The 26,636-nt window shown below is 45.4% G+C and overlaps 1 protein-coding gene and 1 long non-coding RNA gene across 8 annotated transcripts in view, besides 2 other annotated features; one reads left to right on the top strand and one right to left on the bottom strand.

The window, feature by feature from the left end:
• EMC1 (ER membrane protein complex subunit 1) overlaps positions 1-22,234 on the top strand; it is a 35,865-nt gene extending 13,631 nt beyond the window's left edge. For 3 of the 6 annotated variants that reach the window (NM_001271429.2, NM_001271427.2, NM_015047.3), the window contains 12 exons: positions 656-752; positions 2,642-2,764; positions 4,759-4,958; positions 5,121-5,270; positions 6,472-6,633; positions 6,931-7,050; positions 10,444-10,581; positions 14,325-14,498; positions 15,060-15,270; positions 17,046-17,130; positions 18,196-18,325; positions 18,412-22,234. In NM_001271429.2, the coding sequence (NP_001258358.1) occupies positions 656-752; positions 2,642-2,764; positions 4,759-4,958; positions 5,121-5,270; positions 6,472-6,633; positions 6,931-7,050; positions 10,444-10,581; positions 14,325-14,498; positions 15,060-15,270; positions 17,046-17,130; positions 18,196-18,325; positions 18,412-18,591 (1,770 nt within the window). In that variant the 3' untranslated portion in view covers positions 18,592-22,234. Of the gene's footprint in view, positions 1-655; positions 753-2,641; positions 2,765-3,705; positions 3,715-4,758; positions 4,959-5,120; positions 5,271-6,471; positions 6,634-6,930; positions 7,051-10,443; positions 10,582-14,324; positions 14,499-15,059; positions 15,271-17,045; positions 17,131-18,195; positions 18,326-18,411 lie in introns of all 6 variants that reach the window. The other 3 variants (NM_001375821.1, NM_001375820.1, NM_001271428.2) reach the window with 2 other exon arrangements.
• The window catches only part of EMC1-AS1 (EMC1 antisense RNA 1), a 30,319-nt gene that overhangs the window by 2,811 nt on the left and 872 nt on the right, over positions 1-26,636 (bottom strand). Inside the window, exon 2 of one of the 2 annotated variants that reach the window (NR_135115.1) lies at positions 7,731-8,047. The exons of the other annotated variant lie outside the window; for it this stretch is intronic. This is a non-coding gene — a long non-coding RNA (EMC1 antisense RNA 1). Of the gene's footprint in view, positions 1-7,730; positions 8,048-26,636 lie in introns of those variants that run through there. 2 annotated transcript variants of the gene reach the window in all.
• Positions 2,015-2,185: a silencer, noted in NCBI's record as "fragment chr1:19562203-19562373 (GRCh37/hg19 assembly coordinates)". NCBI's record gives its function as "represses an EF-1alpha promoter that drives an FKBP-Casp9 reporter gene in an ReSE screen in HepG2 liver carcinoma cells and K562 erythroleukemia cells {active_cell/tissue: HepG2 | K562}" and the evidence as "EXISTENCE:reporter gene assay evidence [ECO:0000049][PMID:32094911]".
• Positions 26,544-26,613: a silencer, noted in NCBI's record as "silent region_351". NCBI's record gives its function as "represses an Ori minimal core promoter by ATAC-STARR-seq in GM12878 lymphoblastoid cells {active_cell/tissue: GM12878}" and the evidence as "EXISTENCE:reporter gene assay evidence [ECO:0000049][PMID:35858748]".

Raw genomic sequence — 26,636 nt, 5'->3', positions numbered from 1 at the left:
CTCTGAGCCACTGACTTGTTAGAAGTCACAGTAAAGGCGGGTATTATTTATGCCAGCTCATCATTGTGCACCAGGGACTGTTCTAAGCTTTTAACTTACACATTAATTGATTTAACCCTCCAAACACTCTCATGAAGCGGTTGTTCCTGACCTGGTTTTAAAATGATTCTGTGGCCTGGTGGGATCGAGTACCATAGCCAGAGTCACGGAGCCAGTAAGAGGTGTCACTGCGGTTCAGATTCAGGTCTAACCCCACAGCCTGGACTCCTCATCACTACCCAGTATTGCCTCTGTGTGCATCTGGTTGTGTTCCTCAGCTGCTTGGGCTGTGGCTTCTTCGTTTCTAAAGCGGAAAGTCTAATCCCGGCCTCCTGCTCACTTTGTGGGGTGTGATTAGAGCATGGATGAATGGCGTGGTACCCGTGGAGTACTCAGGTTCTTCCATGGAAAGGTCTGGGAGACCCCAGCATCATTATGTTGGCTCCTAAGAATATGTATCACTTACTGGCATCCAGATAATAGCTACATTGTTTAGACATCAAATAATGCCATGGCCTGTACCTCTGTTAAGTCCAGGCTTTGACTCCTGGGGTCTGGTGCTCTCAGAGGCATTTGGATCCTCACTGACTACACCGGTCTTGACTGTGGCTTATAGCTGTATATCCAGGTGTTCTTGAAGAAGGATGACTCAGTGGGCTACCGGGCTTTGGTGCAGACAGAGGATCATCTGCTACTTTTCCTGCAGCAGTTGGGTAAGTAGACCTCATTCAACCCATTTTTTTATTTCCCCAGGCCTTCCAATGTGTTCCAATCAGACTGTTTTTTGGGAGGCTGCAGGTTTCTGGAAGAGATTCAAGTGGAGTGTGCCCTGAGTGTTTCGTTCATAGCCAAATGTCACCTGCTTTTTTTTTTTTTTTTTTTTTTTTGAGATAGAGTCTTGCTCTCTTGCCCAGGCTGGAGTGCAGTGGCATGATCTCGGCCCACTGCAATCTCCACCTTTCGGATTCAAGCGATTCTCCTGCCTCAGCCTCCTGAGTAGCTGGGATTACAGGCGTGTGCCACCACGACCAGCTAATTTTTGTATTTTCAGTAGAGACAGGGTTTCCCCATGTTGGCCAGGCTGGTCTCGAATTCCTGACCTCAAGTGATCCGCCTGCCTCGGCCTCCCAAAGTGCTGGGATTACAGGTGTGAGCCACCGTGCCTGGCCTGTCACCTGCTTTTTTTTTTTTTTTTGAGACGGAGTTTTGCTCTTGTTGCTCAGACTGCTGGAGTACAGTGGCATGATCTCAGCTCACTGCAACCTCTGCCTCCCAGGTTTAAGTGATTCTCCTGCCTCAGCCTCCCAAGTAGCTGGGATTACAGGCATGCACCACCACGCCTGGCTAATTTTGTATTTTTAGTAGAGATGGGGTTTCACCATGTTTGTCAGGCTGGTCTCAAACTCCTGACCTCAGGTGATCCACCTGCCTCGGCCTCCCAAAGTGCTGGGATTACAGGTGTGAGCCACCGTGCCTGGCTCTTTTTTTCTTTTTTGAGACAGAGTTTTGCTCTTGTTGCCCAGGCTGGAGTGGAATGGTGTAATCTCAGCTCTTTGCAACTTCTGCCTCCTGGTTCAAGCGATTCTCCTGCCTCAGCCTCCTGAGTAGCTGGGATTATAGGCGCTAATTTTGTATTTTTAGTAAGAGACAGGGTTTCACCATGTTGGCCCAGGCTGGTCTCAAGCTCCTAACCTCAGGTGATCTGCCCGCCTTGGCCTCCCAAAGTGCTGGGATTACAGGCATGAGCCACTATGCCCGGCCCCGTTACCTGCTTTTGAAGAATAACTTGGCATTCTCGGTGGGATACAGAACTTTCCTCCTTTGACCTATTGATTCCAGCCCCTTGCTCTGCCATTTCTCCTTTTATGCAAGAGCTTGTAGTAATCCCTGAGTCAGCGAGAAGAGTCTCTCTAGAAAATCTGGGAGACAGGCTTAGCTTTTGTTTATTTATTTATTTATTTTTTGAGACAAGGTCTCACTGTTGCCCAGTCTGGAGTACAGTGGCGTGATCATAGCTCACTGCAGCCTCAATCTCCCGGGCTCAAGTGATCTTCCTATCTCAGCCTCCTAAGTAGCTGTGACTACAGGCGCTCGCCACCATGCTTGGCTAATTTTTTGATATTTATTTATTTTTATTTTATTTTATTTTATTTCAAGACGGAGTCTCGCTGTGTCGCCCAGGCTGGAGTGCAATGGCACAATCTCGGCTCACTGCAACCTCCACCTCCCGGGTTCACGCCATTCTCCTGCCTCAGCCTCCCGAGTAGCTGGAACTACAGGCGCCCACCATCATGCCTGGCTAATTTTTTGTATTTTTAGTAGAGAGGGGTTTCACCATGTTAGCCAGGATGGTCTCGATCTCCTGACCTCGTGATCTGCCCGCCTTGGCCTCCCAAAGTGCTGGGATTACAGGCGTGAGCCACTGTGCCCAGCCCTGATATTTATTTTTTGTTGAGATAAGGTTTTGCCCTGTTGTCCAGGCTGGTCTCAAATTCCTGGGCTCAAGAGATTCACCCACCTTGGCCTCCCAAAGTGCTGGGATTACAGGCATGAGCCACTGTGCCCAGCCCCAGGCTTAGCTTTGTAAAAATGTTTCCTGTAGCAGGGAAGGTGGTGCTGTGGAGCCGTGAGGAGTCCCTGGCAGAAGTGGTGTGCCTAGAGATGGTGGACCTCCCCCTGACTGGGGCACAGGCCGAGCTGGAAGGAGAATTTGGCAAAAAGGCAGGTATGAACCTAAGAGGTTGGAGCTGCAGAGTTGCTGGAGGGGCCAGTCTGGAAATGACCACAAGAGACACTGTATCATGCATCTCTGGCTTCCTAGGCTGGGCAGATTGCTAGTCTTTTCTGAATGAGCTCTGTGATGAGGTTCCGGTGCATTCATGGCCATATGGTTTATGAAACCATTCTTTTCTGTGAAAGAATGAACTGTGAATCCTTCTAGGGAAAGCTAGGGAAAAATCCCTCTAGGGAAAGCTGAGGGAAAAAAGTCTTTTTTTTTTTCTTTTTTTGAGACAAGAGTCTCGCTCTGTCACCCAGGCTGGAGTGCAGTGGCGCGATCTTGGCTCACTGCAACCTCTGCCTCCCAGGTTCAAGCAGCTCTCCTGCCTCAGCCTCCTGAGTAGCTGGGATTACAGGCATGCGCCACCATGCCCGGTTAATTTTTGTATTTTTAGTAGCAACAGGGTTTCAGCATGTTGGTCAGGCTGGTCTCAAACTCCTGACCTCATGATCTGCCAGCTTTGGCCTCCCAAAGTGTTGGGGATTACAGGCGTGAGCTGCTGCGCCTGGGGGGAATAAAGTCTTAACTTGGTATTGTAATAGCTACCATTGCCTGTGTACTAAAAATTTGCCAGGCACCTTATACTCATTGTCCCTAAAGCAGCAGCCATATCTGTCTGGAGACACCATTGGGTTGATCTGGGTATTGTGGAAACAGCCCAGTGCCCTCTAAAGCTGGCCATGGTCCCAACTGCCAGGATGAACTTGATTCACTCTGCTCTGATTCAGTCCTGCCCCCCACCCTCTCTCTTCTCTCCATTCATCCAGCCCTCCAACGGATAGCTGTTGAGGGCCTGCTCTGGACCAGGCACTCTGCTAGGCAATGCACATTTTCTTAAGCTGAGGATTAATTTGACTTTACTGTTTATTTCTGCTGCCTGGATCCAGCAATTCAAGGTAAAACCTGCTTCTTGCTGCCTTGTTGCTCGTTGCCTGCTCACATGGCTAGCTTTTGGTTAATTGTTTTTCTTCCTAACTTGGACCAATGAGGTACATCCTTGGGGTGTGTGTGTGTGTGTGTTGACTGCCATGCTTGTGAGTTGTCCTGTTGCTTCTCACTTCTCTTCCTTGAGCAGAGGTGGGTGGAAAATAAGATAAGCAGAGGTTCTGCTCCTTTTTTAGTGAGTTATTACCATGTACCAGCCACCACGCTAAATCCTTTATGTACATCGTATGATGTAATTTTGGAACAGTCCAGTGGGTTACATGCCACTTTACAGATGAGGAACCAGAAGCAAAAAGGTGAAGTACATTTCTCAGTGTTACCCCGCAGTGAGTGGTGAAGCTGGGATCTTAATCTGGGCCTGCTAGATTCCAGAGACCATGCTCTTTACCTTGCTTCCTTGCATCTGTTTACAAATCTGTGGTCTCCAATGGAGGAGATTTGGAGGGCAGTGGCTTCATTGACGGAATCAGGGAAAGAGTGAATGATGGTCCTGGGAACTCGTTGCAAGTACGTCTGTTGGGTGCAGGTTAAACAGCTGACAAAGTAGGAATGAAGCAATGGGAGATGGAAGTACCTGCTCATGATACATATTCACTGACCTGCACCCTCCACCCCCACACTCATACCTCTTCTGGCTTTGTCATGGCACCCAGAAACCTTCTTTTAGCATCTTGGATGTGGGGCTGTGGTGGAGACATTCACAGCATGGCTGTCTCCTGCATGCCTGATCCCTGACCTCTTAGTCTCCTATTCCAAGATTCCAGCTGGGTTTAGTTGTTAAGAGCCAGTTAAGCAGTTTTTGGAAGCTCCTGCATGAGCCTCACCTGAGTGTGAGACTTTGGGCATCAGATACAGGACTGCCCTTTGGGCTTGTGGCCTAGAGTGTGGACTTTATTGCTCCAGAGGAGAGGCAGAGATCCCTCATTAGGAAAATCATGTACCTCCTTATGGACCCCTAGTCTGATGTAGAGTATGTTACTTTTCCTTTACACCAGATGGCTTGCTGGGGATGTTCCTGAAACGCCTCTCGTCTCAGCTTATCCTGCTGCAAGCATGGACTTCCCACCTCTGGAAAATGTTTTATGATGCTCGGAAGCCCCGGAGTCAGATTAAGAATGAGATCAACATTGACACCCTGGCCAGAGATGAATTCAACCTCCAGAAGATGATGGTGATGGTAACAGCCTCAGGCAAGGTGAGTGGGGTTTAAGCTCCAGTTACTGAACCTTTTCAAATTCTGAGGGTGAGGAACAAAAAGCCTTCAGTGAGGGATAACACTGGTTCTAGTTTTCAAGGACAGACTCAGTTCTTTGGTTTCTCTTTCTAGTAGTGAGCCAAGTATTTGTTTATCTTGCAGCTTTTTGGCATTGAGAGCAGCTCTGGCACCATCCTGTGGAAACAGTATCTACCCAATGTCAAGCCAGACTCCTCCTTTAAACTGATGGTCCAGAGAACTACTGCTCATTTCCCCCATCCCCCACAGTGCACCCTGCTGGTGAAGGACAAGGTGAGGCATCCAGCTCTGACTTGAGCCAGACTCAGTGTGGCTTTTTTGCTATTTTGTAACTTAAATTGCTCCTAGGCCCTTGGAATTGTGTGAGTTAATGAGGAACATTCAGGGGTTAGAACTCTGTTTCTTCTAGTTTCATGCATGGGTGGAGGAACCATCCAGCACTGATGTGGAATTGTTTAGAAAGTGGGTGTGACTTCACCAGCTATGTAGGGAGCCAGCTCTCCTCTTTTCTAAACATTGGCTGTTGGTTGCTGAGTGGCTATTTTCTCTTCTCTCTTTGAGGAAGAGCAGGACACAAAGATATTTTTGTGTCTTCCCAGAATTAGAATGGATTTTTGTGTATTCATTCTAGCATAGAAGGCGGGCTTGGTAGACACTTTCCTGGAACGGCTGCCTGGTGCGATCTCGGCTCACTGCAGCCTCCACCTCCCAGGTTCAAGCAATTCTTGTGCCTCAGCCTCCCGAGTAGCTGGGATTACAGGCACACGCCATCATGCCCGGCTGATTTTTGTATGTTTAGTAGAGACAGGGTCTCACCATGTTGGCCAGGCTGGTCTCAAACTCCTGACCTTAGATGATCCACCTGCCTCGGCCTCCCAAAGTACTGGGATTACAGGTGTGAGCCACCACGCCCGGCCAGGTTGCTGAATTGTTACTTGACTTTTTTATTAGTTCTTGTTTAGAACTGGCAGAGCAGCCAGGCGCGGTGGCTCACGCTTATAATCTCAGCACTTTGGGAGGCCAAGGAGGGCGGATTGCTTGAGTCCAGGAGTTCGAGACCAGCCTGGGCAACATGGTGAAACCCCTCTCTACAAAAAATAAAAACAGAATTAGCCACGTGTGGTGGTTTGTGCCTGTAGTCCCAGCTACTTGGGAGGTTGAGGTGGGAGGATCACTTGAACCTGGGAGGCAGAGGTTGCAGTGAGCCTTGATCATGCCACTGTACTTCCAGCTTGGGTGATAGAGAGAGACCCTGTCTCAAACGAAAAAGAACTGGCAGAGACAGTTTGACTTTTTTCTTTGTGACGTTAGCCTAGGGGACTATTCACCTACAGCCAAGAACTTATTTTCCACAAAGAGGGCAAAGACTAGAGAACCCCCACAGTTGTTGAGCTGGAGTCCCAGCTCTTCAGGTCTATCCCTAGGATTTGCAGTCTTTTCTTGTTGGTGGAGCCTGACAGTTTGCTCATTTTAGGAGTCGGGAATGAGTTCTCTGTATGTCTTCAATCCCATTTTTGGGAAGTGGAGTCAGGTAGCTCCCCCAGTGCTGAAGCGCCCCATCTTGCAGTCCTTGCTTCTCCCAGTCATGGATCAAGACTACGCCAAGGTGTTGCTGTTGATAGATGATGAATACAAGGTACTGTCTTCAGAGGGGATGGAGAACATGCTAGCGGAGTCCGGTTTGGGGCCAGGTGGTCAAACACAGCGGCCCGGAGATGGAGTGCTCTCTGCACCCAGCACGTGTTTGGGCTCTAAGGCCATCCCGAAGAGAAATGATGGCTGTGTCTGCATTTGTGAAAACTCAGGTTCTTAACAGAACTGAATGTAAACCCTAAACTGAGTTCAAATCAACTGATTTGCAGTTTTATTCTTAAGGCTCTCTTTGATGGGGAAATTTCCTAACTCTTTCCTTGGGCTCTCTGGGTTTTTCAAGGTCACAGCTTTTCCAGCCACTCGGAATGTCTTGCGACAGCTACATGAGCTTGCCCCTTCCATCTTCTTCTATTTGGTGGATGCAGAGCAGGGACGGCTGTGTGGATATCGGCTTCGAAAGGTAGGAAGGCATGTCCTGGCACAACCCTTTGTGGATGAGATGCAGGTGTTTCCTGGCCATTTGGCTAAGAAGTGAATTATGCTACTCATTCTACTGTAAACTTAGATTAGCATAATCCTGATGTCTGATACAAAGTCAATCATTTGTTCATATTTGTTGGGCAGCTACTACATGGCAGATACGGTTCTAGGTGCTGTGGATGGAGTGGTGCACAGTAGAACAAATCTCTGCCCTTGTGGAGCTTTCATTCCACATTCTTTTTCTTTTTTTTTTTGAGATGGAGTCTTGCACTGTCGCCCGGGCTGGAGTGCAGTGGTGCGATCTCGGCTCACTGCAACCTCTGCCTCCTTGGTTCAAGCGATTCTCCTGCCTCAGACACCCAAGTAGCTGGGATTACAGGCGTGCGCCACCGCGCCCGGCTAATTTTTTGTATTTTTAGTAGAGACAGGGCTTTGCTGTGTTGGCCAGGATGGTCTCAAACTCCTGACCTTGTGATCCACCTGCCTCAGCCTCCCAAAGTGCTGGGATTACAGGCGTGAGCCACCGCGCCTGGCCCCATTATTTTTCTATAGCAGAGAGATGGGACTTTTTTTCCATTCTTGGGAGGGTAGAAGGTAGGAATGTGGGTTGAGTAATAAGTTGTACTTTTATATGAAGATGATGTTGACCAACTCGTGATGGAATGTGTGCTTTGAATTTTATTTCTAGAAAGGGGGTCAGTTTGCTTTAATCCTCACATACTTGAGACCAACTCTTGTAAACAGTAATACACGCTGGCTGTGAAGTCCAGCTCTGAAGTTCACGAGGGGCTGGCATGGCCTTGTTAGCAGGACTGTTTGGAGAAGTACTCTGTGGTGTGTACTCACAAACAGCTCTCCCATCCTGTCCTGTAAGGCCTTTTGAGAGGCATAGAGTTTAACCAATTTGCTAGATTGGAAGTCTAGGTTTGTCACTTACTAACTTTGTGACCTTGGGCTCTGGTCTTCTGTTTTCTTATCTGTAAAATAAGGTGATAAGTACCTGTCTCATAAGGTTGTTGTGAGAATTCAACACATAAATCACATAAAACTGCCTGGCACATGGTAAATGCCATCTGAGTTGGAGGTGCTGTTGTTTTGAAAATGCAGCGCCCTTTTGTGACATTTGTAACAGCTAACCTTAGCATAAACAGCACTGGAAATGGTCTGCCCAGAAGACACATCCTTTACCCTTGTGAATGAAAACATAAATAAATAAAATCATCCTTCTGAGTTAATAAAAAGAGGACCTTGAAAGAGACAGTTTTGTAGATTCAGGGGAGTGAACTGGAGTGTGGGTGTCATGAATCTGGAGTCCTGAGGACATCATCTGAGTGAACAATGACCAAGGAAGACAAAGGAGGCAGAGCTGTCTGTGGGAAGTGAGCCAGCTGTGTGCGCGAGTCCGGGACCACAAGGGAGTGTGCTGCCTTTGCCCTCACTTGGTGACCTTCCTCTCTGGGGATGTTTTAGTGAGTTCTTATGTTTTCAAAGAAGGTTGTGGCAATGAAGGCTTATTATTAATAATTTTCACTATTTTAAAAATTTAGGTAATACATTGAGTATATTCTCATTGTAAAAGAGTCCATTGATACAGAGAGGTGAACAAGCAAAATGTGAACAGACCCTTGTAGCCCCATTCCCAGCGGTCTTCCCCTCCCCAGGTGGAAAGCCTGTCAGCAGTTTGCTGTGCCTCTTTCTACTGTCCTTGTGTATTTATGATTCCCTATCAACAGCTGTGTGGACACACGTGTGTGGCTCATACTTTATTTATTTTTTTTTAGAGACAGAGTCTCGCTCTGTCACCCAGGCTGGAGTGCAGGGGCGCAGTCTCAGCTCACTGCAACCTCTGCCTCCTGGTTTCAAGCGATTCTCCTGCCTCAGCTTCCCAAGACTACATGTGCACGCCACCATGCCTGGCTAATTTTTGTATTTTCAGTAGAGACGGGGTTTCACCATGTTGACCAGGCTGGTCTCAAACTCCTGACCTCAAGTGATCCTCCCGCCTCGGGCTCCGAAAGTGCTGGGATTACAGGTGTGAGCCACCACGCCCGGCCCATTTTATTTTTTTTTCTCATTCACATGCAATTGACCTATATTTATTCTTATGAAATTTGCTTTTTTTCATTTAATGGGTTTTCTACCTCATTGTTTTGTCAACTTCAGTTTTTTATTACAGAAAAATATTGACAAAAGTGCAAAATCATGAGGTATGGCTCAGTGAACCCTCACCAAGGGAATACACTTGTGTACCTGGTGACCACTTCAGGAAACAGAATAGCACCAGCTCCTAGAAGGCCCTTGTGCCCTTTGCCAGTAACTACCTCCTGTCTCCACCCCCAAGGGCTCCGCATAATTCCATAGGATGGATGTATAATAATGTATTTAACCATGAGTGTTTATTGGTTGGTTTCCTATGACCATAAACAATCATACACGAAATGTTTTGAGCTCCCTGTTAGCTTAGACATTCACTGCTGGCCCCAGTATACAGGGATCTTGGAGTTTAGTAATAAATGGTAAATTTTCCTTGCATATTTCCTACTCAGATAAACAACGGGATACTATTGAGCGTTCGCCTCCTTTCCTACTGGCTTTATTATCTTTTTTTTTTTTTTTTTGAGCCGGAGTTTCGCTCTTGTTGCCCAGGCTGGAGTGCAATGGTGCAGTCTCGGCTCACTGCAACCTCCACCTCCTGGGTTCAAGTGATTCTCTTGCCTCAGCCTCCTGAGTACCTGGGATTAAAAGCATGCGCCACCACACCCGGCTAATTTTGCATTTTTAGTAGAGATGTGGTTTCTCTATGTTGGTCAGGCTGGTCTCAAACTCCCGACCTCAGGTGATCCACCTGCCTCGGCCTCCCGAAGTGCTGGGATTACAGGTGTGAGCCACCACGCCCGGTCTAGTATCTATCTTAATCAAACCGAGAGTTCTGAAATTTCTTCATAAACTAGATCTCTATTGCTGTTTTTCTGGTTTATTTTTTGTTTTGAGTCTTGCTCTGTCACTCAGGCTGGAGTGCAGTGGCGTGATCTCAGCTCACTGCAGCCTCTGCCTCAGCCTCCCGAGTGGCTAGGATTATAGGTGCCTGCCACCACATCTGGCTAATTTTTTGTATGTTTAGTAGAGATGGGGTTTGGCCATGTTGGCCAGGTTGGTCTTGAACTCCTGACCTCAAGTGATCCGCCCGCCTTGGCCTCCCAAAGTGCTGGGATTACAAGAATGAGCCACTGCTCCTGGCTCATTTTTCTAGTTCTGATCTCTATTCCTTCCTGCACAAAGGCCTCAAATAATGAACTGTAGGATGTGTCTAACTCCAGCTGTTTCAGTTCTAAGTGTACCCTCCTGATTACAGGCTTTTTTGCCCCTGCCCTAGGATCTCACCACTGAGCTGAGTTGGGAGCTGACCATTCCCCCAGAAGTACAGCGGATCGTCAAGGTGAAGGGGAAACGCAGCAGTGAGCACGTTCATTCCCAGGGCCGTGTGATGGGGGACCGCAGTGTGCTCTACAAGGTACATACAGCCAGCTGTCTGGTCTACAGCAAGGGCTTTCGAATCAGGAAAACAAGGGCTTCAAGTCTGGCTGTAGGACTTGGTACATATATGACCTTGAGTAAGTCATTTAATCCCTTTGAGCCTTAATTTTTGTTTGTGAAATGGGGATAATATACCCTCCTCCTGGGCTTGTTGTGATGATCACATGGGATGTTCATGTCTAGCCCAGTGCCTAGCATATGGTAAGTAAGCAACAGATGTTAGCTCTTATTTTTTTGACTTTTTTTTTGTTTGTTTGTTTCCTGTGACAGAGTCTTGCTCTGTTGCCCAGGCTGGAGTGCAGTGATGCAGTCATGGCTCACTGCAGCTTCGTCCTCCTGGGCTTATGCAATCCTTTCACCTCAGTCTCCCAAGTAATTGGAACCACAGGCACATGTCATGCTAATTTTTTAAAAACGGCTGGGCTTGGTGGCTCATGCCAGTAATCCCAGCATTTTGAGAGGTCGAGGTGGGTGGATTACTTGAGTCCAGGAGTTTGAGGCCAGCTTGGGCAACATGGCTGAAACCTTGTCTTTACCACCCCCAAAAAAAAAAAACAAAAAAAACAATTAGCTGGGCATGGTGGTGCATGCCTGTGGTCTCAGCTACTCGGGAGGCTGAGGTAGGAGGATCACCTGAGCCTGGGGAGGTTGAGGCTACAGTGAGCTGCAATTGTGCCGCTGCACTCCAGCCTGGGTGACAGAGTGAGACCCTGTCTCCAAACAAACAAAAAAAATTTTTTTTAAATTTTTTATTTTTGTAGAAGATAGAGATCAACCTAGGAAACATAGTAAAACCCTGTCTTCAAAAAAAAATTTTTTTTTAATTTTTTATTTTTATATTGACAGGGTCTCACTATGTTGCCTAGGTTGGTCTCTATCTCCTGGCCTCAAGCAGTTCTCTTACCTTAGCCTCCCAAAGTGTTGAGGTTAGAGACTTGAGCCACTGCGCCTAGCCCAGCTCTTATTACTAGTGGTAGTACTGATAGAGCATTCTGGGGTTAAACCATAGTCGAGCCATCAGAAACTCCATCTCTGTGATCCAACACTCTAGTTAGTGTTAAAGAGAGGGAGATTAAGGTGACTAGTGGGCTGCAAAACTGTTATGGGAGAGAATGTAATGATAGTAGTAATGCACATTAATTACACCCTCTGGTACAGCAGAGACTGAATTGGAGGGGGTGTCATAGAATAGAGATCACGGAACTTGACGGTAAAGCTGGATCACTAAGCATGAGCCAGTGCAACACAGTGCAAGCCTCTAGTTTGACTGTTAAGACTTGGCTCTGCCGTGGCCTAGCTGTTCATCTCTTAGGCTGCCTGAGCTTCAATTTTCCCCAGTATAATGGGGATAATAGCACCAACGTCAGAGGATTGTTTTGAAGATTAATGATAACATGTAAAGTGATTAGAATAGTGCCTGCCACATACTTAACATTATTATTAGTGCTATTGACTCTTTTTTTTTTTTTTTGAGACAGGGTCTTGCCATGTTGCCCAGGCTGGAGTGCAGTGGTGTGATCACAGCTCACTGCAGCTTTGACCTCCCGGGCTTAAGCAGTCCTCCCATCTCAGCCTCCTAAGCAGCTGGGACAACAGGTGCATGTCACCATGGCTTATTTTCTTTTCTTTCTTTTCTTTTTTTTTGAGATGGAGTCTTGCTCTTTCACCAGGCTGGAGTGCAGTGGCACGATCTTGGCTCACTGCAACCTCCACGTCCCAGGTTCAAGAGATTCTCCTGCCTCAGCCTCCCGAGTAGCTGGGACTACAAGCGCGCACCACCATGCCCAGCTAAATTTTGTATTTTTAGAGATGGGGTTTCACCATGTTGGCCAGGATGGTCTTGATCTCTTGATCTCGTGATCTGCCCGCCTTGGCCTCCCTAAGTGCTGGGATTACAGGCGGGAGCCACCGTGCCCAGGCACTTATTTTATTTTCTTTAGAGATGGGGTCTTGCTGTGTTGTTCAGATTGGTCTTAAACTCCTGGGCTCAAGCAATCCTCCCATCTTGGCCTCCCAAAGTGTTAGGATTACAGGCATGAGCCACCGCACCCGGCCAGCAGCAAGCAGTTTTTGAGTGCTAGCTGGATGCAGGCACTCATTTAGACACTGGGATATAAAATGGGCAAAACAGACAAAACTTCCTGACCTCGTGAGGCTTTCATCATAGTTGGGTGAGGCTAATAATAAAGAAAATAAATAGGTAAATTAGATAGTATATTAGAAAGTGACCAGTTCTATAGAGAAAAATAAAGCCGGGAAGAGGGAAAGCAGGTACAGTGTAAGTCGGGTGGCTAAGGAGGGGCTTAGTGAGAAAGTGGCACGGAGTGAGTGGACTTGAGTGAGGAAGTGAGTTGTGTGGGTAGCTGCGGGGAGAGCCTTCCAGAGAGAAAAGTCAAAGTGCTCCTGGTATGTGTGAGAAACAGCAAAGAAGACCAGGTAACTAGAAGATGATGAGTGAGGAGGCATGTCAGGCCTGCTGAGGGCAGAGGGCAACAGGGCCAGATCACAGGCCACCACCGTGGCCTTCACTTTGGAGCACGGTGAAGAGCCACTGGGAAGTTTTCAGCAGAGGAGTGACATCAGTGACTGAGATTCCACAGGCTCATTTGACCTAGATTAGACTGTAGAGGGGTGAGGAGGAAAGCAGACCATTTAGGCTGTGGGGTCATCCAGGTGCTGATGGTGGCTGGAGCTGGGCTGGTAGCATGGAGGTGGGAAGGAGGGATCAGGTTCTGGGTACTTTTGAAGGTAGAGCCAAGAGCAGGTATATGTGTGTTACAGAGAAAGGAGTCAAGGATAACTCGAGGCTTTAGGTCTGAGCCACTGATGTATGGAGTCGTGACTGGCTGGGGAGGAGAGAGGAGCAGATTTTAGGCAGGAGTTAGAACAGTTCAGCTTGGGCCATGTTAAGTTTCAGATGAAACATCTGAGAAAAGATACTGAGATAATTTCTTAGTGAAGTCTGGAGTTCAAAGGAGTATCTGGTTTGGATATATACATTGGGCATTGCCAACATCCATAAATGGTGTTCAAGCCATGAGATTGGCTTGAGATCACCACGAGGGTAAGTGTGACGGAAATGCTCAAGGCTTGAGAGCTTTCTGATGTGTTCCACCATGAAGAAACTGGGGAGATGTGGAAGAACCTCCAAAAGAGACTGAGAAGGAGAGGCCAGTAAAGTAGAAGGAGTGCTGGGCAGGGATGTTCTGGAAGCCAGGTGAGAAAATGTCGCAAGGAGGTAGTGATCACCTGCGTCACGTGGTACTAGTGGGTCAAGTAAGTTGAGGGCCAAGACTTAGCCACTGGATTTAGCGATGGGGAGGGGGGTGGTGACCCTCAGAAGAAAAATATCACTGCAGCATTTGTCCCTAGGTCAATGAGTGGGCAGACCTGGATTTTGTCTTGGGTTACCATTTGCTATCTGTGACTTGAAAAGCTGCTTAACTACTTTGGGACTTTTCTGCAAAATGTGGACCATAATAGCTACTCTGCAAGACTGTTTAAGGGATTAGATAAAATACAAGGTACCTGGCATGGCACCCAGTACCCAATGCACATAAAACAAGTGCAGTGATGAGAAATTCCAAACAGGAAGCTCTTTTCACCAGAAACCCTGATTCCTCTGCCAGGCTGGAGAGCTCCAGGTTGGTCTCACAGCACAGGAATGGAGTGTGTGATGAGTCGTCGTGGTTCTAAGGGAGGTTTTCTCTCTCTCTCCAGAGCCTGAACCCCAACCTGCTGGCCGTGGTGACAGAGAGCACAGACGCGCACCATGAGCGCACCTTTATTGGCATCTTCCTCATTGATGGCGTCACTGGGCGTATCATTCACTCCTCTGTGCAGAAGAAAGCCAAAGGCCCTGTCCATATCGTGCATTCAGAGAACTGGGTGGTGGTAAGCGGTCACTACCAGGGACCCAAGGTAGCTCCAGAGGTCTCCCTGCCTCCTGAGTCCTTTCCAGAAACCCAGTTGCTGCTTTGGTTTTCTTAGGATCTCAAATTCCCTGGATGGCAGCAAAGCGTGCCGGTTAGGGCACTGGGCTCAGGAATCAGATTGCCTAGGTTTAATCTTACCTCTTCCGTTTCCTGACTGTATAACCTTGAACTAGTTATGTACACGCTCTGTGTTGCATCATTGTTAAAATAGGGATAATAACAGTCACCTTCAGTCTAGCAAAGAACAATGCCTGGCACCTAGTAATGATTCAAAGGTTAGCTACTATTATGGCTTCTAAGACTCTTGAGAATTTCCTTTGTTTTGTGGTGAACTTTCGATAGCCTAGATAAAACTACTTTGAAAGTTAGTAAACTTGATAGTAAGGAAGAAAAGTGAGGTGCTAGTTGATGGTTCTCCTTCATGGATCTGTAGCTAATTAGAGGGGTGCCTTCCAGTGCAATTTCCCTTTCCAGTTGAAGCAGCTGCTAAGCCCTGAGCTGCCACCTCCTATCCCTGCAGTACCAGTACTGGAACACCAAGGCTCGGCGCAACGAGTTTACCGTACTGGAGCTCTATGAGGGCACTGAGCAATACAACGCCACCGCCTTCAGCTCCCTGGACCGCCCCCAGCTGCCCCAGGTCCTCCAGCAGTCCTATATCTTCCCGTCCTCCATCAGTGCCATGGAGGCCACCATCACCGAACGGGGCATCACCAGCCGACACCTGCTGAGTGAGTGACTGGGGAGCCTCTGGGATGGCTGGGTTCCCTTGGGCAACCACACTTAAGGACAGAGCAAGGGACACATTGCTGGCAGAGCCTTGTTGAACCACCTGTAAGGGAAAGGTGGTGAGGAGGGCTATATATCGGTGGAAAAAGTTTCTTAGTTCATCTTTGCCACCTATGAAGGTGACCACTTCTCTCTCAGTTCTCATCTTTTTTTTGTTTTTCGAGACAGGGTCTCACTCTGTCATCCAGGCTGGAGTGCAGTGGTGTGATCATGACTCACTGCAGCCTCAACCTCCTGAGCTCACCTGGCTAATTAAAAAAATTTTTTTTGGTAGAGACAGGGATTTGCCATGTTGCCCAGGCTGATCTAGACTCCTGGGCTCATGTGATCCTCCTGCCTTGGCCTCCTGAAGTGTTGGGATTACAGGTGTGAGCCATCGTGCCTGGCTGCCTGGCCTTCAGTCCTCATTTCTGATATACCACCTCTCTATTTGGCATTTTCACCTAGCTCAAAAAGTCAGTTCCTGATAGCATTGTTAACATAGCTAGCCTGTGCTGACAGCTTGCAGAAACTGGCAGGGTCTATTGCCCAGGCTGGAGTGCAGTGGCACGATCTTGGCTCACTGCAACCTCCGCCTCCTGGGTTCAAGTGATCCTCCTCCTCAGCCTCCCAAGTAGTTAACAGGCGTGCACCACCACGCCCGGCTAATTTTTGTATTTTTAGTAGAGATGGGGTTTCGCCATGTTGGCCAGGCTGGTCTTGAACTCCTGACCTCAAGTGATCCGCCTGCCTTGGCCTCCCAAAGTGTTGGGATTATATGTGTGAGCCACTGCGCCAGCCCTAAAATCTCATCCTTATGTAACCTAAGCCCAGGACTTAGGACTTAGTGGTTAACAGGTTCCTGTGTTTAGTTGATTTTACCGAAGATGTTTGGGACTCTCAGATCTGATGGGCACTTGGCATTGCTGTTGCTTTTTTTTTTTTTTTTTTGAGACAGAGTCTTGCTCTGTCACCCAGGCTGGAGTGCAGTGGTGCGATCTCAGCTCACTGCAACTTCAGCCTCCCTGGTTCAAGTGATTCTCCTGCCTCAGTCTGCTGAGTAGCTGGGACTACAGGTGCGTGCCACTGTGCCCAGCTCATTTTTAAATTTTTGGTAGAGACGGAGTTTCACCATGTTGGCCAGGATGGTCTCAATCTCCTGACCTTGTGATCCACACCTGCCTCGGCCTCCCAAAGTGCTGGGATTACAGGTGTGAGCCGCCGCGACTGGCCTATTGAATTCTTAAATATGAAGAAGCCAGCCCTGTTGGCAGTTTATCAGCTTTAATCACCATTACTGAAACTGGTGCTATGATTGATCATGCCTGGTCCTCCAGTCTTCCCTGGCCACTGTACCGCAGCTGCATGAACAGCTGCGTTTGCTCAATGGGAAGGAGACTTCCTGCTGGGGGAGGTATGGGAGGGAGGCCCCGGGGAGAGGCATGAGGAAATCCAAGTGGCCTTCTACATTTTTCTCTTTCATCATTATCCATATCTTGATTCTAGAACTTTATTTTCTGGTGTCTCAGAAAGTTAAGAAACCAGTGTCTTCAAAAGTGAGAACCTTCATTCAGACCCATGCGTATCATTGGATTATTATTTTTGGCTATGTAAGGGAGCCTCATTGACCCATTTTTTTGTTTTAAATTCTTATTTAAATGTCTGCAATAATGACATTTTTGTAACTGGCCCTTGCTGGACACTGGATCGGTGTGAACATTCACTTCCTCCTGTGTAGTTGGACTACCTTCTGGAGCAATTCTTTCCCTTCCTAAGGCTTTGCTGGATCCCCGCCGCCCCGAGATCCCAACAGAACAAAGCAGGTGAGACCCTCATGGGCAGTGCTGAAGGCTCTGACCTTACATAACTTAACCTCACTGATTAAGCTTGGTTCTTGGTCTCTGTGTGCCTTCATGCTGTGCTAGGGGCTGGGGATGTAGCAGGGGGCAAGTCTGAAAAAGTCACCTGCCCTCATGGAGCTTACAGTCTGCTGGGAAATGGACAATAAATACATAAGATAAACAAGTAAAATATATACTATGTTAGGTACTCAAATGCTAAGCAGAGTAAAACAGGAATGAGCTAGGAAGTGGGGATGGGGATGTGCGTGGGTGTAATTTGAGAGGTGGCCTGGGAAAGCCCCTTTGAGAAGGTGCATTTTGAGTGAAGGCCTGAAGGAGGTGAAGGAGCTAGCTGTGTAGATACCTGAGGAAGAACTTTCTAGGCAGAGGGAACAGGCAATGCAAATCCCCTGAGATCATGTCTGGTGAGTTTGCGGAGGGCAACGCTAGGAAATGAGATCACTGAGGTAATTCGGGCCAGACCATGTGGGCAAGCCAATATCTTATTCACTGTTGGTATTGTTGTATTAACAACCACCATCTTGTCGGGTTTTCTTACCTCCATCCTGAATTTCTTTGCCTAGGGGCATGAGGAATGGAGAGGAGTGTGTTTTGGAGAAGTATATGAGAGAGAGGAGGTTAAAGCTAGGAAAAGACACAGGATGATAATCAGGTTTCAGAGAAATGGGGACTGAGAGGCACCCTGGAGTGGAGAGCAGGAATTAGCTTAGTGGTTCAGTGTGTTGGCTTTAAAATGGTCGGCTTTCCTCTTGTGGTGTGAAGTGCCAGTCATCTGTATGTTCTTTCTTTTCAGATTTAGAACAAAGTAGGAATCTAGATCTCAGTCTTACTCTCCAGAGAGCTTCCTTTCTTGTAGTCCTTCCTAACATTCAGCTGCTAAATTTTTAACTACCTAATGCAAGCAGACCTCCTAGGAGATTTGAGGCTAGATATGTAGCCTGGAAACCTCCCAGGACTCAGGAAGGGCAGCCAAGAGATCCCTTTACAGCAGTGCTCAGACTGCCTGTCCCGGCTGGTGTTTTGCAGAGAGGAGAACTTAATCCCGTATTCTCCAGATGTACAGATACACGCAGAGCGATTCATCAACTATAACCAGACAGTTTCTCGAATGCGAGGTATCTACACAGCTCCCTCGGGTCTGGAGTCCACTTGTTTGGTGAGTAGAGCCCACAGCTGCCCTATTTCACCCTTGGTGGATCATTGGTTGTTTCTTTCCTAATTCTTATTCCATCTGCCTTCCAGGTTGTGGCCTATGGTTTGGACATTTACCAAACTCGAGTCTACCCATCCAAGCAGTTTGACGTTCTGAAGGATGACTATGACTACGTGTTAATCAGCAGCGTCCTCTTTGGCCTGGTTTTTGCCACCATGATCACTAAGAGACTGGCACAGGTGAAGCTCCTGAATCGGGCCTGGCGATAAAGAACAAAGACTGTGCCTAAAAGTGGAGAGCCAGGGGAGTGTGGGTCAGATAAGCAGCTACAGCTGCAGTTTGGTGGATTGGTGGAGTATGTGTGTGTGTCAGTGCTCAGCTAAGAACTGTAGGGAAGATGGATGACCTTCACGCAGAACTCCTTTTGGGATATACATGATGCAGAAAGGATCCTACATGGAGAGAGACAGAACTCTCTCAGCTGACACTCTCAGAGATTCCTGATGGGCTTTCTCTTGAAGTCCAAAGGCGTCTGCATTGTTTCCTTTCTTTGCCCATCCATGAATGTTCTGTTTTGTTTTTTTTAATAAGAATTCCGGCTGATTTTTGTGAGGCCTGTTTAAATTGACTTTACTTTGCCTTTTGTGTTTCTCAATTTTATCTAGAAATCTTTCTGACTTTTTCCATCTCTTGCTTCAAAGTAAGAGGGGAACTCTCCTTGCCGACTCCACCTTATAGGTACATTTGGTGTTTTGCACTGGGAAGAAATAGGATCCATCCTTAGCTGAGGCTTGAGGACTGATCCAGCCTCTCATGGCTTCCCTCCAAAGTAACTTAGGGTTGAGGGATCTATATGTGATGTCAAAACTTACTTTAAACCTCTAGTTTCGTGCTGTCATTTATTAGGCTGGGCCACCAAATCTTTGTTTCAATTTATCAGAAGCCAAGTGCATACTAGCGTCTTGTTTGTTGCCCATTGCCTATACTTTTCACCTGAGATGTGTGAGTTGGGGCCTTTTAAAAACTACTGAATTGTCTGAGCCTTGAAGACATTTCCAGGGAGAAGAGATAATCTCTCATTTCACCCACAGGCTGGTCTAATCATAACCTAGTTAAAGATGTCCTTGTTTAAGAACCCCATTATTTATTTTTAGTTTTTAATATAAATTAACATGTGGGTCATTATATTTCTCCTTAAATGAGGAAATTTTAAATTTTATTGATCTAACCTTTGAAGCTTTAAAAAAGGAGAAAGAGGGTAGGGGTGGGAAACTGGCATACTGTGTGTATAGCACTGCCGATTGGCTAGGCCACTGTGTCTCTGCTACAAATTAAAGAAATCCTAAAAGTTTTCCTTGGTCATAGAGTTGGGGAATGACAGAATTTTTCTTTGTTGTGAAATGTATGTACAGAGTAGACCATCTCTAGCCCTGTGGTGAAAGAGGTACACTCGAATGTTTGCATAAAGCAAGTGACAAATGACACTGTTTAAGTCCTCTTTTGTGTCTTAGAAGATCATTTTGAGGCTATTTTCACATTAGAGGGGATAAAAGCAGTGAAGACATGGAGTAAGTGTATTTTATTTTAGTAAGGAAAGGTCAGTTTAATCATATATGGGTTGGTTAGGTTATCTAAAAATTTGTCATCTTTCTATGGTCATATGCTGATGGTAGATTATGGCAGAGAAGGAAGAGGAAATGACAACCATTTTATTAATTGTCAGTTTGATATTGAGTGACTGAATGTCTAAGAATCTCCAGAAAAAAACAGGCATCTATCATCCTGACCCAAGGCATATTTTAACATAACCTGGGAGAAGAGAGTTAAGTACAAGTTAAAAAAAATTCTGCCCTAGTTTTGAGAAAGCCTGGCTGGAATTCTGACTGTCTTACATACATATGTGCAAGGTTAGCCTGCAAGATTCTAGTTTTTATTTACCAGTGTGCCAGAATCTGAAACAAGCTACTGGGAGGGAAGGTATTTGTCCTTTAGTAAAATTCCCTGTATTTCAGCTGTAATCAAAGTTACCTCAAAGCAGGTGCTTTTTTTTTTTTTGAGACAGAATCTCACTCTGTTGCCCAGGCTGGAGTGCAGTGGCACGATCTTGGCTCACGGCAACCTCCACCTCACAAGCAGCTGGGACTATAGGCATGTGCCACCACGCTCAGCTAATTTTTTGTATTTTTAGTAGAGACGGGGTTTCATTGTGTTGGCCAGGCTGGTCTCGAACTCCTGGCCTCAAGTGATCTGCTGGCCTTGGCCTCCCAAAGTGCTGGGATTACAGGTGTGAGCCACCGAGCTTGGCCAAGTGCTTAAAATAGTTAATGCTAATGCCACAGTCCAATTTAAATCTTTTCTTAGTTCTCAACTTTCCTTAATCTTAAAGCAGCATTCGGTTCTGAGCAGCTACACTCAGTCTCCACTAATGGCTGCTGAGACTATGTTTCCTCTCTCAATTCTCTGATCTATTTGCTTTCTTGTCATTCCTTGTTTTTTGTGTGTATTCCTTGACTTACCTCTTCTCCTGTCTTCATTAATTAGGTTAATTTTGGGGCCCCATGGTGTTTCACGTAAAAAGATTTGGCTGGGCGTGATGGCTCATGCCTATAATCCCAGCACTTTGGGAGGCCATAGTGGAGGATCTCTTGAGCCCAGGAGTTCCAGACCAGCCTGGGCAACATAGCAAGACTCTATCTACAAAAAATAAAAAAAAATTAGCCGGGCCTGGTGGCATGTGCCTGTGGTCCTAGCTACTCAGGAGGCTGAGGTAGGAGGATCACTTGAGCCTGGGAGGTCGAGGCTGCAGTGAGCCATGAACATGCTACTGCATTCCAGCCTGGGCAACAGAGTGAGACCCTGGCTCAAAAACAAAAACAAAAACTAGTTTGTTTTAGTATTCATTAATTACGTATATGAGCACTGGTAGTCTAGTGTTTGTTCTTGTATACAGTGTTTTCTTAAATGAGATGATGCTATTTAATTCTGTTACTTGTTTTTTCAACTAATGGATCTTTTAAAGTTTTTTATTTAAATTTTTTGTGGGTACATATTAGGTACATATACTTATGGGGTACATGAGATGTTTTTATAAAGGCTCAGCTAATGTATCTTGAATATCATGTATTCATAAAGATGACTGAAATAGTTTCTGGAACAAAGTCTGATAGAAAAAATACTCAATTCCTAATTTAAGTGTTAGAGACTTTAATGTAAGCTATCTAATCTGAACTAGTTTCATTATTTGTGTGTGGGTACATGTTATGTGCTCCGTAAGGCATCTTTCAATTTGAAAATTTCATAATTGTAATTTCACTGCCTTTATAAATTGCTTTTTTTTTGGAGGCAGGGTCTCTGTCACCCAGGCTGGAGAGCAGTGGCACAGTCATAGCTCACTGCAGCCTCGAACACCTGGGCTGAAGTGATCCTCCCTCCTTAGCCTCCCAAAGTGCCGGGATTACAGGCATGAGCTACTGCACCTGGCCCATAAATTGTCATACTTTTAAAGAGCCTATTACACAAAGTATCATCAGAATCATCCCAAGACTCATTTCCTGATTCCTAATTATTTAAAATTTTGCTTTTAGGCGAGGCATGGTGGCTCAAGCCTATAATCCCAGCACTTTGGGAGGCCAAGGCAGGCAGATCATTTGAGGTCAGGAGTTTAAGACCAGCCTGGCCAACATGGTGAAACCTGAAACCCCATCTCTACCAAAAAAATAAAAAAATTTAGCCAGGTGTGGTGGTGCATGCCTGTAATCCCAGCTACTTGGGAGGCTGAGGCAGGAGAATCGAACCCAGGAGGCAAAGGCTGCAGTAAGCCGAGATCATGCCTCTGCACTCCAGTCTGGGCAACACAGTGAGACCCTGTCTCAAAAATAAATAAAATGAAAAAATTGCTTTTAAATCATGAAACCATTCTGTTTTCTTTACTTGGAATGTTTTCTTCCCTGCTTAAAATCTGGCTTGTCTCAAATCTGAACTCCTCCATAAAGTCTTCCCTATTGGTTTCAGCTACTCAGGACCTTCAACCATCCTGGCTGCTTACCACGTAACTTCCTGAGTGATATACCACACCCCTTTATTATTTCAGATATTGTGTCTCTTAGGGACTGTTTTCTGAATTACCTATTGTCCCAGACATGAAGTTGCTCCTTGACAAATAGTTCCCCAAATGGCTGTACCTTCTTCTCCAGAACCCTTAGGAACTTTGTCCTCAGTTTCCCAAATTTCTAAGACTTCGGTGACTTAGTAAAGGATTTTTTTCCTTTTTTTGAGACAGAGTCTCATTCTGTCTCCCAGGCTGGAGTGCAGTGCCTTGATCTCGACTCACTGCAGTTTCCACCTCCCGGGTTCAAGAAATCCTCCTGCCTCAGCCTTCCGAGTAGCTGGGACTCCAGGAGTGTGCTACCACACCCAACTAATTTTTGTATTTTTAGTAAAGACAGGGTTTCACCATGTTGGCCAGGCTGGTCTCGAACTCCTGACTTCAGGTGGTCTGCCTGTGTGGCCTCCCAGAGTGCTGAGATTATAGGCGTGAGCCACCGTGCCTGGCCCCAATAATTCTTTTTTTTTTTTTTTTTTTTTTTTGAGACAGAGTCTCACTCTGTTGCCCAGGCTGGAGTGCAGTGGCGCAATCTCGGCTCACCACAACCTCTGCCTCCCTGGTTCAAGCGATTCTCCTGCCTCAGCCTCCCGAGTAGCTGGGGCTCAGGCGTGCGCCACCATGCCCGGCTAATTTTTGTATATTTATGGAAATGCCAAGAGATAGTTCAATCTGCCTCTCTGGCAAGCCATGGACACCAGGTCTGACAAACTCTCTTACTCCTTAAGACAAATGCTCACCTGATCAATATGGGGAAATAAGCTGCATGGTACCATAATTTCTATTCTAAAAGGGAAAAGTATCTCTTTGGTATTGCTTTGGAAAACATTCTTTATAACTATCTTGCTATTTAAAAATTGACAATTATCCTTCCATAATTAAAACAGGTAGACAACATCCTGTGCTCTTTCATTTTTTTGTAAAATGTAACAAACTATTCAGCATTCTTGAAGCAACCTTTCAATAATGGAGATACTGGTGCTTCATATCAATCAGCTGTTTTGATTTTGTGGCTAAGTTCTTTATTTTAAAAAGACTATGTAAGTAAAAAAAATTTTTTAACAATATCCCCAAATTAAGGTGAGTGTTGCCTTCAAAACCTCCCCCACCATGTTTCCCAGAGGTCACCACTGAACAATTTGGTATCTCTCCAGGTAATACAATCTTCTGCAGCTTGGTTTTATCACTTAGTCTATCGTGGAGAGTGCCTATGTGAGAGGTAATGGATCTACACCATTCTTAGTGGTCACACGGTTGAAATTCTTAAGTGCTGTTCCATTAGAGATTTTTATGAGACTCAATACTCTTTCGGGAAAGTCTAATATTTAGGTCACCTTTCCAGTAAGAAATTTGTAACATAAAGGATGTGTACACACCCACCTTCCCATTTTTTTTTAGGAATCAGAGTGTGAAGTTAGTTGAGACTGACCTCCAACGAAGAAGCCTGTTTTCCACCAGCACTAAGGCTTTTATATATTTCTGATCCAAGAAGGTGACTTTTGCAGGATAGAGACTAAGAACATTTAGCAAAGTGTGTTTGTAAAATAGCCAAAGGTTTATATTGAAGCACCCTCTTCTCTGTCCCCTAATGTGCAATCTGAATGAATGGAAGTCAAGAAAGCAAACTAAAACTATAATTAAAAGGCACAATTACTCATACAAACTCCATTATACCTCATGGTTTGTTCACATCATGGCTTTGATGATATCATATATCCCATGTGCTGTGATAAAATAAGAACTAGACTAGATCAATCAACCAGAGGCCAGTTTATTGATGATAATGAATGAAGACTGCAATTGCAAAGAGGGCTAAAATACTCATGCTGCTGGAATATATATCCGCTCCTATAAAAAAGGTGATATAAGTTAAAATGCTATTATAAGTTTGCTTGGTTGTTACGGAGTTAGGAGATGTGATATCTTACTCATGCTTTTTACTATAGGCACATACCTTCCAAGGAGACCAGAACAGTCCCTCTCTGCACCCTGACCCCCCATGTCCCCACCCCAAACAGTGCTAAAGGGTACACACAGTGTAATCATTTGGCTCCACTTTTCCCAGAGTTTACATATAAACTACTTTCCTTCTGTTAAGTATCTGGCATACAGTAGGCTCTCTCTGTCATCATACTCTGTACCTAATTATAAAGCAAATGGATGATAAAGTATTTATAAATTTTTTCTTTTGACTTTTGACAACACAATTTCAGACTTACAGAAAAGTTGCAATAGTACAAATAATTCCCAGATCCCCTCTACCCAGATCCCCCAAAGGTTAACATTTTACCACATTTGATTTATCCTTCTCCTTCTGTCTGTCTCTCTCTCTGGCTCTCAATCTGATAGGTCAAAACTTTTGAGAGTGTAAATCTTAAAGTGACATTGTATTCTAGTCCCTCCACAGCTAGCAAAATTGTTTTTTTCGCTCTTAAAGCAAGAAGGCTGCAATAAGCATTTTCTTCTTTTAAGTTCATGCCAGGTGAATTGTTCAGTATCATGGGAAAAATAATACTTGTGGGTTACAAATAATGTCTCATAATTCTAAATTGAATTAGGCTTCTAATCTAATTCCTTATATTCTTGGTAATTTGAAAACTAAGTCTGTTGTGAATTACCAAAAAGGAGCTGCTCTCCATTTGAAGTTTTCAGTATTGCAGTAGGAGTTTCAACAAAATATGCACTGATTACTTGTTCTTGTAACTTTGTAAAAGCTTGAGAACAGATTGACCTCTGTTGGCTCCTACGGGGTAACAGCTAAGGTTTATTCATTTACTTGTTTCTAGAAACACTGTATCTATTAGGATTTATTCCAAGCAACTCTGTATTAGATGGCTTAAAAGAAAAAAGAGATGTGCTATCTACCACTTTTGAAGCTCTGTAGTGAGGCACACTGACCTCATTTGTTTTTAGATTGCTGTACAATTTACAACCACCAAAGTGTGCAAATCATAAGTACAAATCATGGCTTAGTGACTACTGTGTGTGTATATCCATGTAAGCATAACTGTGTCAAGGTATAGAACTTTTCCAGCTCCCAGCAGGCCTCCTCATCACTACCTCTACACAAATCTTTAAACCATACCATTCATCAATGTCTGCCATTTTTACTTCATTGAATTCCCTGTAACATGACTGTATCATGTCTTTTATCATTTTAAATTTCAGTTCCTTGGCAGACACTTGGGATTAGAATGGAACAAGTATTTTAAGTCCTTCAGTTAATTCATAAAAGTTATTTATTGTTTTTTAGTTTCTATCTTATTTCCTGGACCAGAATATTAGAAGCTTGTGTTTCATCTAGAAGTCTTTTATTAGTCTCTTTTGTCATCTAAATTTATAACATAGATGCCATTCCAAATCTTTGTGGCAACACAAGACCAAACCTCCAGTACTGAAATAAATGTGGCATTTATAAAGGAAGTTCTTTATCTGGAGTGCTCTCTCCCAATCTATTAACCAGAAATATAAAGTATATAATAAATAATTTAGGTAAAGGTGAAAATCTCCCTGTGATAGTTTGCATTTGCCTTTTATTCTCCTGGAGAGGGAAGGGAGGACAGCAGATACATTTGATCTTTTATTTCCTGAAATTTCTCCAAGACAGCTTTTGCAGATTAATTTTGTCCTCTGGTTAAAATAAAATTCATGTCCCAAAGCCATTATAAAATTCTGGGTCTCCAGCCTTTCCTTAGGGCTCTGGTTCAGTATCTTGAAATACTGCAATATTTATAGTGTTATGGAAAGTTCTTTTTCATTTCTGATGTTTTTATGTTTAAGAAACTTGCTGTTATTATTATCCTCTGGTAAGTAGGCACTGAAGGAAAATCCCTACTGCTGTCATCAAAGCCACATTTTCCTCCAAGACCGGCTTTGACTTGACTGAATTTTATTTCGAATGTAAAGATGCAGGCTGGGCGCAGTGGGTCAAGCCTGTAATCCCAGCACTTTGGGAGTCCAAGGTGGGAGGAACCTAGGACTTCGAAAACAGCTTGGGCTACGTAGGGAGACCTGTCTCTTAAAAACAAACAAAAAAAATTAAGAGTGGTGGCCTGCACCTGTATAGTCTCAGCTACTGGGGAGGCTGAGGCTGGAAGATCACTTGAGCCAGGGAGGTGGAGGCTGCAGCCAGCTGCAACTCTGCCACTGCACTCCAGCCTGGGCTATTGGGCGACAGAGCAAGATCCTGTCTCAAAAAAGGTAAAGTAGGTC

This window comes from Homo sapiens, chromosome 1 (assembly GCF_000001405.40).
Source record: "Homo sapiens chromosome 1, GRCh38.p14 Primary Assembly".
Taxonomy (NCBI): domain Eukaryota; kingdom Metazoa; phylum Chordata; class Mammalia; order Primates; family Hominidae; genus Homo; species Homo sapiens.
This window is presented reverse-complemented; position numbering and strand designations above follow the sequence as displayed.